Here is a 12688-nt window from a genome sequence, read left to right as displayed (position 1 = left end):
GTTGCGGTGACCTGAGATTGTACCACGGTACTCCAGCCTGGGTGACAGAGTGAGGCTCCATCTCAATCAGTCAGTCGATCAAATTAAGTTTTAAAAAGCCATTCCATGTCAGCCAGGCTAAGTCCTGAGAATTGTCCGCTCTGGTCCTCGCGTCTCTGGGAACATGTGGCAGTGAGGATGGACGTTCCTTGCCAAGTGGCTCTGTTCGGCATAGTAACGTCTTTGTCCTCTTTTTAGCTGCAGAAGCAGAACCACAGACTATGACTTGGTCGGAGGCGATCAGCTCAACTGTCACTTCGGCTCCATCCTGCACACCACAGGGCTGCAGTACAGGGACTTCATCCACGTCAGCTTCCATGACAAGGTGTGGACGCTGCAGACAGCGGCTCTTCACTTCTTTTGGGTCCTGGAGCTGTTAGAGATTCTGATGGAAGTTATGAATTATTCTTCCCGTAATTCATAGACACACAAACACACTTCTAAGTCCTGTGTACTATTTCAGAGGGGCCACAGACTCTGGGGGAGCCACACAGATGCCCTGGTGCAGGTTCAGAACCCAGGTTTCACATAAGATAGAGACGTCTTCATCAGAGATAGCGCGCTGTGTTTCTTACCTCGCCCTTCTGTTGAGGAGTGAAATCCCTCAGTATTAATGCCGCATGGCCTTCTGGGATTCGTATCGTCGTCCTGGGTTGTGAGTGCCATCAGTAGTGTAGTGTAGCAGGTCTGGCACTCTGGGGGGGTCACTGTCACCTTGGGAGAAGCTGCAAAAGCCAGCTGTGGGCCGGGCACAGTGGCTCACGCCTGTAATCCCAGCACTTTGAGAGGCCGAGGCGGGTGGATCATAAGGTCAGGAGTTCGAGACCAGCCTGGCCAATATGGTGAAACCCCATCTCTACTAAAAATACAAAAATTAGCTGGGCGTGGTGGCAGGCGCCTGTAGTCTCTGCTGGTCGGGAGGCTGAGGCATGAGAATCACTTGAATCCGGGAGGCGGAGGTTACAGTGAGTTGAGATTGCGCCATTGCACTCCAGCCTAGGTGACAGAGCAAGATGCCATCTCAAAAAAAAAAGCCAGCTGTGCATGGCTGCAGTGCTGCGTGTTCAGTGTCGCTCGCTGTCTCTCCAGGTGATTCTCATAGGCACCGCAGCGGGAGGCCTGCTGGCGCAGATCGGCGGCTCTCCCACTTTGCTGCCCAGTAGAACCTCTTGAGGAGCTTTTAACACTGCTGAGGTCCAGGCCGCACCCTGGGCCAGTTCAATCCGAATCTCTGGGGAGGTCAGAGAGAGGCTAAGAAAACAAAGATCCTTTTTCATGTAGAGCAGCATGGTTTATGAAGGCCAGTCCCTGCCAGAGTGGGTCCCACTGTGTAGTGAGCGTGAGTGGAGAGGCGGTGTCCCCTCCTCTCTGTGCCGCAGGACTTGGGCTGTCATTGCAGACACTGCAGGGCTCCGACTTTGCGTGCTGGTGCGTGTGTTCACTGTTTAGGCCCCATGCTTGTTTCTTGCTCCTGCAGGTTTACGAGCTGCCGTTTTTAGTGGCTCTGGATCACAGGAAAGAGTCTGTTGTGGTCGCTGTGAGGGGGACCATGTCTCTGCAGGTAACGTTGGAACCTGACTTTCCAGCCCTGGGAGTGGGTGCGGGAGCGGGAGCCCACAGCTGCTCGGCTGGGGAAATCCGTCAGTAACCGCATGAGACACAGGGGAAAATGGTGAGGACAGAAAATGAGGATGTGAGCCTGGGGTTGGGAAATACTCCCTTTGCAAAAAGGGATGAAGCTGTTTCATCTTCACTGAGAACTGTCAGCAGCAGAGCGGCCAGCAGGTTGGCCCCCCCGCCACAGGAGCTCCCAGAGGGCACCTGCTTGACCCCTCCCTGCCTAACTTCCCTGAGCCCAGCCAGGCCCCACACCCGGGAGCCCTCCCGGGGAATTTCTGCACCAGAGCCAGATGGCGGCAGTGAGTCAGTCTTGCTGCAGAGAGTCACGCCCCTGGCCACCAGCCCCGCTGGAGGCTCCCGGTTTGGATCCTCACAGGCCCTCGTGGCCTGCCGTTCTCCAGGTGAGGTCAGGACTGCCGACATCCATCCCCAGCCCATGGCCCCTCTTCTGTCTTCCTCAGTCCATACTCCTGGGCCCCTTGGAGATGCCAGGTGACGCTTTCCTTGTCAAAGCTTTCTTCTCTCCATTCCGGTTTCCTCCTGGCCACTCCTCAGTCTCACTTCCCGTTCTTCTCTGCTGACCCAGAAAATGAGTTGAGACTCCAGAGCCTGTGTGCTCAGCCCTCTTCTGCTCCTGACTGGCTCTGGGGTAGCCCCCCTAAGTCCAGGGCCAGGACCCCAAACTTGCATCTTCAGGAGCCATCTGTGGGTCTCCCGGGAGGCACCAGAGAAGCCACACTTCCCACAGGGCTGCTCCTCCCGGGGGGCGCCCTGTTCACGTCAGCTCTGCCATCGTCCCCCCATTGCCCATTTAAGAAGCAGTGGCGCCTGTAATCCCAGCACTTTGGGAGGCCAAGGTGGGTGGATCACAAGGTCAAGAGATCGACACCATCCTGTCCAACATGGTGAAACCCCGTCTCTACTAAAAATACAGAAAATTAGCCAGGCATGGTGGTGGGCTCCTGTAGTCCCAGCTACTCAGGAGGCTGAGGCAGGAGAATCACTTGAACCCGGGAGGCGGAGGTTGCAGTGAGTCGAGATTGCACCACTGCACTCCAGCCTGGAGACAGAGTGAGACCCTGTCTCAGAAAAAAAAAAAAAATTAGCCGGGCATGGTGGCGGGAACCTGTAATCCCAGATACTCAGGAGGCTGAGGCAGGAGAATTGCTTGAACCCGGGAGGTGGAGGTTACAGTGAGCTGAGATTGCGCCATTGCACTCCAGCGTGGCGACAGATCGAGACTCTGTCTCAAAAGAAGCAGTGGCGTCGTCTGTGGTTTCTGTGCGCCCTGTCTGCTGTGTGTGAACTTCCTGCCCCAGCCTATGTGGCCCTCTCTCCATTTCCAGCGCCATGGCCCCGCTTTTGGCCCCAGTCCTCTAGCTTCCCATCTCCGTCCTTGTCTAGTCTCATCTCCCCAGTCTGTTTGATTGTTTGTTTGTTTCTAAGACAGGGTCTTGCTCTGTTGCCCAGGGTGGAGTACGATGGTACAGTCAGCTCACTGCAGCCTCCACCTCTTGGGCTCAAGTGATCCTCCTGCCTCAGCCTCTCAAGTAGCTGGGAATACAGGCATGTGCCACTACACCCAGCTAATTTTTTCTATTTTTGTAGAGACAGGATCTCACTATGTTGCCCAGGCTGGTCTTGGACTCCTGGGCTGTAGCCATCCACTCACCTCAGCGTCTGTCCATTGTCCTGTCCACCAAGGACTCACTCTAGAACACGGATCGGATCTTACCGTCCTGCTCAGATACCTCCAGTGGCTTCCCATTGCCTTTATGGATTTATCTTTAAATGTTCTTTTTTTAATTCCAACTTTTATTTTAGATTCAGAGGGTACATGTGCAGATTTGTAGCTGGGTATACTGTGTGACGCTGAGGTTTGGGGTACTGTTGATCCCGTCTCCCAGGTACTGAGCATAGTACCCAGTGGTTAGGTTTTCATTCCTTCCCCTGCCCTCCTCTAGTAGCCCCAGTGTCTATTGTCCCCTCTTTGTGTCCATGAATACCCAATGTTGAGCTTCCACCGTCGCATCAGACCATGCGGTGTTTGCTTTTCTCTGTCTGCGTTAATTCGCTGAGGATGATGGCCCGCAGCTGCATCCGTTGCTGCAGAGGATGTGTTTTTGCGCTTTTCTATGCTTGGGCCCACTGTCTTTAACATCAAGTTTGTGTTTCTTATCACAGCTCTGGGTGCTTTACCCAGCAGCCTCCCCCATGCCCACTCCGCAGCCTGGACGCTGCTGCCGGGGCCTCCAGCCCAGCAGCACAGCACTCGCCTGTGGACCTTTTCAAATATGGCTGGTGTGGAGCCGTGCCCAGGGCCCCAGCCAGCGGGTCCTGCTGCCCCTGTTGGGAGGACGCCGCCTGTCCTCTCTGCTTTCACAACAACCTCTTCCTTCGGGTCTGGCTGTGGCGTCACCTCCTCCAGGGAGCTGCCCCTGCGCCTGGGCTGTGCCCCATCCTCTGACTCGGCACTGCCTGGCCCTTGCTGTGGTGCTAGTCTAGGCCTCCTCCTCTCCACGGTTTCACCTGTTACGGGGCTCCTGAGGACGGGAACCAGGCTTTGTTCAGAACCCTGGCACAGGTTCTGTGCCACGGGGTCCTTAGAATACGTGTGTGTGATGGGGAAGGCGCAGGGCGTGTCTTAGGCACACTCCATGGTCCCCTCCACCCTTCACGCCTGGCCCAGAGCTGGTCGTGCCATCAGGGCCCTCAGGAGCCACCGCTGGGTTTCCCTCTTTAGTTTAGGGTTCAGTCCCAGGACCGAACTAGGAGATGGTGCCATCCCCGCCATCCTCCACAGAAGTGTCAGGAGCAGGGACCACCTGTCATTCTCCCACCCTGCCCATCACAGGCTGACGGCCGCTTCTGCAACGCCCTTTTTACAGGATGTCCTTACGGACCTGTCAGCGGAGAGTGAGGTGCTGGACGTGGAGTGTGAGGTGCAGGACCGCCTGGCACACAAGGTATGAGCGCGGACTCGTGTGTCTTGCCTGTGAATGCTGACCACACAGAAGATGGGTGCCTCGGGTCAGGGACTGCACAGAGCCCGCGCTGCCTGCGCCTCCCGCGCTGCCTGCGCCTCCCGCGCTGCCTGCGCCTCCCGCGCTGCCTGCGCCTCCCGCGCTGCCTGCGCCTCCCGCGCTGCCTGCGCCTCCCGCGCTGCCTGCGCCTCCCGCGCTGCCTGCGCCTCCCGCGCTGCCTGCGCCTCCCGCGCTGCCTGCGCCTCCCGCGCTGCCTGCGCCTCCCGCGCTGCCTGCGCCTCCCGCGCTGCCTGCGCCTCCCGCGCTGCCTGCGCCTCCCGCGCTGCCTGCGCCTCCCGCGCTGCCTGCGCCTCCCGCGCTGCCTGCGCCTCCCGCGCTGCCTGCGCCTCCCGCGCTGCCTGATTCTCACAGCAGCCCTGGGAGGCTGTGGGATTTCGTTTGTTCTAAGAGAGAGAAGCCTGTTCAGAGAGAGCGAGTGCCTTGCCCAAAGTCGCGTGGCTACTGGAATAAGTAGCAGGTTGGGCATTTGAGCCCAGCTCTGTGGCTTTTCCTTCTCTCTGTGTGTGTTTTCTGAGAGGCAGTCTCCCTGTGTTGCCCAGGCTGGTCTTGACCTCCTGGGCTCAAGTAATCCTCCTGCCTCAGCCTCCCAGAGTATTGGGATTACGGGCGTGAGCCACCACACCCAGCCTCTGAATTCATTCAGGTAGTACATTCTCATGGTGAAGAACAGCTTCATCAAAGCTCAGAGCAGCAGAGAGTGCGCACCAGGGTCTCAGGAGGCAGGCCCACCCCACGGGCGCTCTGCCGGGTCATTCACATATTCTCTGTGCAGATGGCAGATGGCACGGTGCCAGGCTTACAGTTTCATGCTCACTGTGCTATGGGTGTGAGGCTGCCTCAGCTCCTCCCGAAGGAATGAAAACCCCCTGCCCAGAGTAGAGGGGTAGGGGTTTCTAGTTTTGGGGGCTTCCTGTAACTGGTGAGATATTCCTGACACACATTGGTCAGTTTCACTGTTCGTTGGTCGTTAGTGTATAGTTCCGGGCATCCAGTGCGTTCACAGTGCCGTGAACCCGTGTCCAGTCCCACACCCCTAACACAAGCTCTGAACCCATCACCACTCACTTCCGCTTCCTCCCTTCCACGGCCTCTGGGAACCTCTGTTCTACTTTGTCTCTATAAGTCGTCTCTTCTGGGAACCCCACAGAAGTGGAATCGTACAGGATTTGTCCTTTTGTCAGTGGCCTGTTTCTTTTCTTTTTTTTTTTTGAGATGGAGTCTTGCTCTGTCGTCCAGGCTGGAGTGCAGTGGTGCCATCTCAGCTCACTGCAACCTCTGCCTCCCAGGTTCAAGCAATTCTCCTGTCTCAGCCTCCCAAGTAACTGGGACTACAGGCGCACGTCACCACACCCAGCTGATTTTTGTATTTTTAGTAGAGACGGGGTTTCACCATGTTGGCCAGGCTGGTCTCTATCTCTTGACCTCGTGATCCACCCACCTCAGCCTCCCAAATTGCTAGGATTACAGGCATAAGCCACCGCACCTGGACTGTTTTTGTTTCTGAGACAGGGTCTTGTTCTGTCACCCAGGCTTGAGTGCAGTGGTGTGATCATAGCTCACTGCAGCCTCCATCTCCCAGGTTCAAGTGATCTTCCCACCTCAGCCTCCCAAGTAGCTGGGATTACAGGCGTGTGCCACCATGCCTGGCTAATTTTCTACTTTTTATTTTGTAGAGATGGGGTCTCTCTGTGTTGCCCAGACTGGTCTTGAATCTCCTGGGCTCAAGCAGTCCTCTTGCCTCAGTCTCCCAAAGTGCTGGGATTGCAGGCGTGAGCCACCACGCCTGGCCCTTTGCTGTCTTTTTTGTATGCCAGTTCACAAAAGACTCCAGTTTGCCCATTACTGTGTGAGGAAAGGAGGAACTGTAAGCCTTAGTACAGAGATGCCCCAGAAACCCGTCAGGGGCCAGGGGGCTTGGCCTGGGTGGATCTGCTCAGGCAAAGGCTTTATGTGACCACAAGCTGAGGATCCGCGGCTTGGCTGGCAGCTGAGGCCCCCAAGTGCTGGGTTCATATTTTAGTGACAGTTCATCCCTTGGGTCGGGAAGGCTGCCGCTCAGGGCCTGTCCTGTCCTCTTGGCTTCATTTGTGCCAAATCACGCTGAGTTTGGCTCTGACGCTGTCCACGGTAATTGGACTCCAAACCTGTGTGGCCGAAAGGGCTTTGGCATTTGTTGTTGGATGTGCGCCGGGGAGGCTCGCCAGCAGCAGCTTAGTCCACGTCCTGCTGGGCTCTGCCTGCCCAGCACCAGCCACAGGGTAGGTGCCCAGTGAGTGTGGCCTGGAGTTGACTGCATCCCGCCGTCGCAGGAGAGAGAAAGGGCATCTGGTAATTTGTTAAGAAGTGCTGTCAGGGCCGGGTGCAGTGGCTCACACCTGTAATCCCAGCACTTTGAGGTCAGGAGTTTGAGACCAGCCTGGCCAACACGGTAAAACCCCATCTCTACTGAAAATACAAAAATTAGCCGGGTGTGGTGGTGAGTGCCTGTAATTCCAGCTACTCAGGTGGCTGAGGCAGGAGAATCGCTTGAACCTGAGACTCCGTCTCAAAAAAAAAAAAAAAAAAAAGGAAGTGCCATCTGAATGCACACAGAGTGTTGAAGCCTTTTTAAAAATTTTCTTATATGATGGCTGGGTTCAGCATTCTACTTGTAGAATTATTTAATTCTTAGAAACTTGTAGTTGCAGCCAGGTGCGGTGGCTCACGCCTGTAATCCCAGCACTTTGGGAGGCCGAGGCGGGTGGATCACGAGGTCAGGAGATGGAGACCATCCTGGCTAACACGGTGAAACCCCGTCTCTACTAAAAATACAAAAAATTAGCCGGGCGTGGTGGCGGGCGCCTGTAGTCCCAGCTAGTCAGGAGGCTGAGGCAGGAGAATGGCGTGAACCCGGGAGGTGGAGCTTGCAGTGAGCCGAGATCGAGCCACTGAACTCCAGCCTGGGCGACAAAGCGAGACTCTGTCTCAAAAAAAAAAAACAAAAAAAGAAACTTGTAGTTGGATTAGAGATGATCAAAAACCATCTCCCATCTTCTGTGGGATTTCCTCCACCCCGTCCTATTAGAATCGAAGCTGCACGGGACAGGGGCCAGGCCCGCTTTTCTCCGAGCCCAGCACAGGAGCACACTGAGGAAGCATTTTGAAGATATTTTTGATTGACAGGGTCATTTCTTCCCTGGCACTGCTTTTCTTTTTTAAAAATTTTTTTAGGGCTTAACTGCGTGTAGGGAATGGCTTTATTTTTTTTCTTTTATTTATTATTTTTATGATGATTATTTTTCAGAAAGAGTCTCACTGTGCCACCCAGGCTGGAGTGCAGTGGTGCAATCATAGTTCACTGTAACCTTGAACTCCTGGGCTCAAGTGATCCTCCTGCCTCAGCCTCCCAAAGTGTTGGAATTACAGGCATGAGCCACCTGCTTAATTTTCAAGAAGCCTGTTTCAGAGGACAGATGTATATGTTAGAAAATTTTAAATTTTTGCTGGGCACAGTGGCTCACACCTGTAATCCCAGCACTTTGGGAGGCTGAGGCGGGTGGATCACGAGGTCAGGAGTTCGAGACTAGCCTGGCCAACATGGTGAAACCCTGTCTCTACTAAAAATACAAAAATTAGCTGGGTGTGATGGCGCATGCCTGTAATCCCAGTTACTCAGGAGGCTGAGGCAGGAGAATTGCTTGAACCCAGGAGGCAGAGGTTGCAGTGAGCCGAGATCGCCCCATTGCACTCCATCCTGGGCAACAGAGCGAGACTGTCATTCATTCATTCATTCATTCATAAATAAATAAATAAAATTTTATTTACTTTTTGAAGTTAAAGCCAAACCTGACCACCCTAAAACTCACTTCTGATGGTTTAGTTTTACCTTTGCAGGAACAGTGGATGCTTATCAGTGTCTTTGATTCAGAACTTCGTGGATTCTGTAGTTGTTTTAGAGAAATGGGGTCTTGCTATGTGGCCCAGGCTGGTCTCAACCTCATGCGTTCAAGTGATCCTCCTGCCTCAGCCTCCCAAATAGCTCAGATTGTAGGTGTGAGCCACTTGGCACAGCGGTAGAACTTTATGTTTAAATGTTATGTAAAAAGTCTAAATCTGACCAGCCGTAGGAACTTGGCTGAAGTAAATTGTGATATGTTCACACAGCACAAAACGGTGTAGCTACAGAAAAAGCCACAGAAATGTATCTGTGGAAAGATGTTTGGTTGTTTTGGGTTTTTTGTTTGTCTGTTTGTTTTTTGAGACAGGGTCTCACTCTGCTGCCCAGTGGTGCGACGATAACTCACTGCAGCCTGAACTTCATGTGTTCCAGCGACCCTCCCACCTCAGCCTCCCGAGTAGCTGGACTATAGGCGCTCGCCACCAAGCCCCGTTAATTTTTTTTTTTTTAGTAGAGTCAGGATCCAGGCTGGTCTTGTATTTTTATTTTAGTAGAGACTATGTCGCCCAGGCTGGTCTTGAACTCCTGGGCTCAAGTGTCCTCCTGCCTTGGCCTCCCTAAGTGCTGGGATTACAAGCGTGCGCCACCACACCTGGCACCTGCTTCACGTCAGGCGCTGTGCAAGGTGCCAGGAGCACAGCCATGCACGATGGACGTGGCTGCTGATTCTGCAGTCTCAGATCCCAGGAGAGACTCACACATCAGTGCACAGCGTCATCCCATCTTTGAGTCTCTGCTGGGCCTGCCTTGTCTGAGGATTAACGGCCACCTTCTTTGTCTGTGTTTTTAGGGTATTTCTCAAGCTGCCAGATACGTTTACCAACGACTCATCAACGACGGGATTTTGAGCCAAGCCTTCAGCATTGCTCCTGTGAGATCTTAGTTAACGTTTCTTTCCTTGTCCTCTTTGGAGCTGTTGTTTTTACCCTTCACCTCATTCTGCTGTCTGTCCTCTAGGAGTACCGGCTGGTCATAGTGGGCCACAGCCTCGGGGGCGGGGCGGCCGCCCTGCTGGCCACCATGCTCAGAGCCGCCTACCCGCAGGTCAGGTGCTACGCCTTCTCCCCACCCCGGGGGCTGTGGAGGTGAGCCTTTGTTTTCCTGCTCTAACAGCTTGCTACTTACAAGTCATGTGGTCAAGACTCATCTTTTTTTTCTTTTATTTTCCTGAGATGAAGTCTTGCTCTGTCGCCCAGGCTGGAGTGCAGTGGCGTGATCTCGGCTCACTGCAAGCTCCACCTCCCAGGTTCAGGCGGTTCTTCTGCCTCAGCCTCCCGAGTTGCTGGGACTACAGACACCCGCCAGCATGCCGGCTAATTTTTGTATTTTTAGTAGTGGTGGGGTTTCACCATGTTGGCCAGGCTGGTCTTGATCTCCTGACCTCAAGTGATCTGCCCGCCTCGGCCTCCCAAAGTGCAGGGATTACAGGCGTGAGCCACCGCACCCAGCTGAGGTTTGTGTTTTGAAGCGCTATTTCACAGAAGAAAGTCTGTCTAGCCTTTCTTAGACCTATGTGACCATACCTGTAATTTCCTCAATGATTTAATTCTAAGAGTCTTTTTTCAAACAGACTTTATTTTTTAGAGCAGTTTTAGGCTGACAGCAAAACTGAGCAGCAGATTGTAGGGATCTCTCATACCCTCCCTCCCCACAAGCAAGCACAACCTCCCCCATTCTCACAGCCCTGGCAGAGGGGTCCGGTTGTTGACATCCATGCGCCTGGTAGGCACATCGCCCAGAGCCCGTAGTATGCTGAGCACTCCCTCCGCCCTCTCGGGGGGCATATGCCCTGGGTGGGGACACATGCATAATGCACATGTTTAAAGACATTTTTATGAGTTTGAAAATTACTTTTTTTTTTTTTTTTGAGACGGAGTCTTGCTCTGTCGCCCAGGCTGGAGTGCAGTGGCGTGATCTCGGCTCACTGCAACCTCCGTCTCCCAGCTTCAAGCGATTCTCCTGCCTCAGCCTCCCGAGTAGCTGGGACTACAGGCGCCCGCCACCACACCCGGCTAATTTTTTGTATTTTTTTAGTAGAGACGGGTTTCACCGTGTTAGCCAGGATGGTCTCGATCTCCTGTCTTCTGACCTCATGATCCGCCACCTTGGCCTCCCAAAATGGTGGGATTACAGGCATGAGCCACCACGCCTGGCTGAAAAGTTTATATTTTTTTTTGCTGATTCCAGCATACTGACTGTTCTGTGTAACCTTTTGCCATGATTATAAAGGAAAATTATACCACTTTATTTCATTAAAATGAAATAAAGGCCAGGCGTGGTGGCTCATGCCTGTAATCCCGGCCCTTTGGGATGATTAAAAAGTATGTACGTAAAGAACAAAAAGAGCTTTTCTTCGCACACTTGGTTTCTTTGACATATAGTTCACACAGGAAAAAACAGGAGAATGTATAAGTGCTTAAATCTTTCCCTCAATAAAGAAGTGTTCAGAATAATGAATTGTTGCCTAGCAGTCTACAGAGGCAGACATTAATTTTTTAAAACTTAAATTTCAGTCGTCTGTTTTCTTGCTGTCTTTTTTTTTTTTTTAATTGACACAGAGTGTCACTCAGTCTCCCCAGCTGGAGTGCAGCAGCACAGTCATGGCTTGCTGTAGCCTCTGCCTCCTGTGCTCAGGTGATCTTCCGGCCTCAGCCTCCCAAGTAGCTGGGACCATAGGCGCACACCACCACATCCAGCTAATTTTTGTAAGGAACAGGGTCTTGCTATGTTGCCCAGGCTGGTCTTGAACTCCTGGGCTCAAGTGATCCTCCTGCCTCACCCTCCCAAAGTGCTAGGATTAAAGGTGTTGAGCACTGTGCCTGGCCTCATTTTCTTGCTTTCTCAAGAATATTCTCAAGTTTTGGGCTTGAAATGAGCAAGTATTTTTTTTTTCCATCGTCCATATCTGGAATCAACCGTTTCTCCAAGGAATATTGGTTCCTTTTAGCAGGAAATGGTATTTCTGAACTGAAATCGGGGCACTGGTAGTTCTCATTACCACAGGGCTGGTCATAATTTCCAGGCCTTTTCATTGGAAAGAGGTAGGAAAGGCTTTTGTTACACCAAAGAGAAAATGTAACTGTAGTGTATAGTGATACTTAAACATCAGGAGGCTGGGCATGTTGGGTCACACCTGTAACCCCAGCGCTTTGGGAGGCTGAGGCAGGAGGATCACTTGAGCCCAGGAGATCGAGACCAGCCTGGGCAACATAGACCCGGTTCCTTACAAAAATTAGCTGGACGTGGTGACGTGTGCCTGTGGTCCCAGCTACCCGGGAGGCTGAGGCAGTAGGATTGCCTGAACCCAGGATGAAGAGGTTGCCGTGAGCCGAGATCGTGCCACTGCACTCCAGTCTGGGTGACAGAGCTACACTCCGTCTCAAAAGAAAAAAAAAAAAAATTGGCCGGGTGTGGTGGCTCACACCTGTAATCCCAGCACTTTGGGAGGCCAAGGCCGGCAGATCATGAGGTCAGGAGATCAAGACCATCCTGGCTAACACGGTGAAACCCTATCTCTACTAAAAATACAAAAAATTAGCTGGGCGTGGTGGTGGGCGCCTGTAGTCCCAGCTGCTTGGGAGGCTGAGGCAGGAGAATGGCGTGAACCTGGGAGATGGAGGTTGCAGTGAGCTGAGATTGTGCCGCTGCACTCCAGCCTGGGAGACAGAGCGAGACTCCATCTCAAAAACAAAAAAGTCCTTTCTGTCACCCCAGAGGTAGAATGTGGTGGTTTTGACTGGTGTTTCCATTATGTCCATGGCTGGAAGGAAGCGTGTCTGTGTTCCTCTCCTCCTGTTGATGAAAGCCTGCACCTTTTCCCTGCTCTTCTGTCTCTGGTCGTGGCTGTTCACTTTCACCGCATGTCCTGAGATGACCCCGCAGTGGCACACACAGTCCTCCTCCTTCTCCCAGCTGTGCGGGACGCACTATTATGTGACTCGTTGTTGGGAGCTGAAGGCAGTTCTGTGGATGGGTGTTTGGAGGCTCCAGCCTCTGCCGGTGCAGGTTCTGCCGCAGTGAATCGCCTGTTGCCTCTGCCCCTTCATTT

The 12688-nt window shown here is 53.2% G+C and overlaps 1 protein-coding gene across 2 annotated transcripts in view, besides 2 other annotated features; it reads left to right on the top strand.

Annotated features, from left to right (window-relative positions):
- The window catches only part of DAGLB (diacylglycerol lipase beta), a 38826-nt gene that overhangs the window by 21603 nt on the left and 4535 nt on the right, over positions 1-12688 (top strand). For both annotated transcript variants that reach the window (NM_001142936.2, NM_139179.4), the window contains 5 exons: positions 238-364; positions 1517-1600; positions 4548-4625; positions 9431-9511; positions 9598-9725. In NM_001142936.2, the coding sequence (NP_001136408.1) occupies positions 238-364; positions 1517-1600; positions 4548-4625; positions 9431-9511; positions 9598-9725 (498 nt within the window). The remainder of the gene's footprint in view (positions 1-237; positions 365-1516; positions 1601-4547; positions 4626-9430; positions 9512-9597; positions 9726-12688) is intronic.
- Positions 1333-1832: an enhancer, noted in NCBI's record as "H3K4me1 hESC enhancer chr7:6464151-6464650 (GRCh37/hg19 assembly coordinates)". NCBI's record gives its function as "activates a minimal SCP1, AML or CMV promoter by ChIP-STARR-seq in primed H9 embryonic stem cells {active_cell/tissue: H9 hESC(primed)}" and the evidence as "EXISTENCE:reporter gene assay evidence [ECO:0000049][PMID:30033119]".
- Positions 10452-11028: an enhancer, noted in NCBI's record as "H3K27ac-H3K4me1 hESC enhancer chr7:6454955-6455531 (GRCh37/hg19 assembly coordinates)". NCBI's record gives its function as "activates a minimal SCP1, AML or CMV promoter by ChIP-STARR-seq in primed H9 embryonic stem cells {active_cell/tissue: H9 hESC(primed)}" and the evidence as "EXISTENCE:reporter gene assay evidence [ECO:0000049][PMID:30033119]".

Source organism: Homo sapiens, chromosome 7 (genome assembly GCF_000001405.40).
Source record: "Homo sapiens chromosome 7, GRCh38.p14 Primary Assembly".
In the NCBI taxonomy this organism is placed as follows: Eukaryota; Metazoa; Chordata; class Mammalia; order Primates; family Hominidae; genus Homo; species Homo sapiens.
Note: the sequence above shows the minus strand (reverse complement) of the source record. Positions and strands in the feature narration are given on the sequence as shown.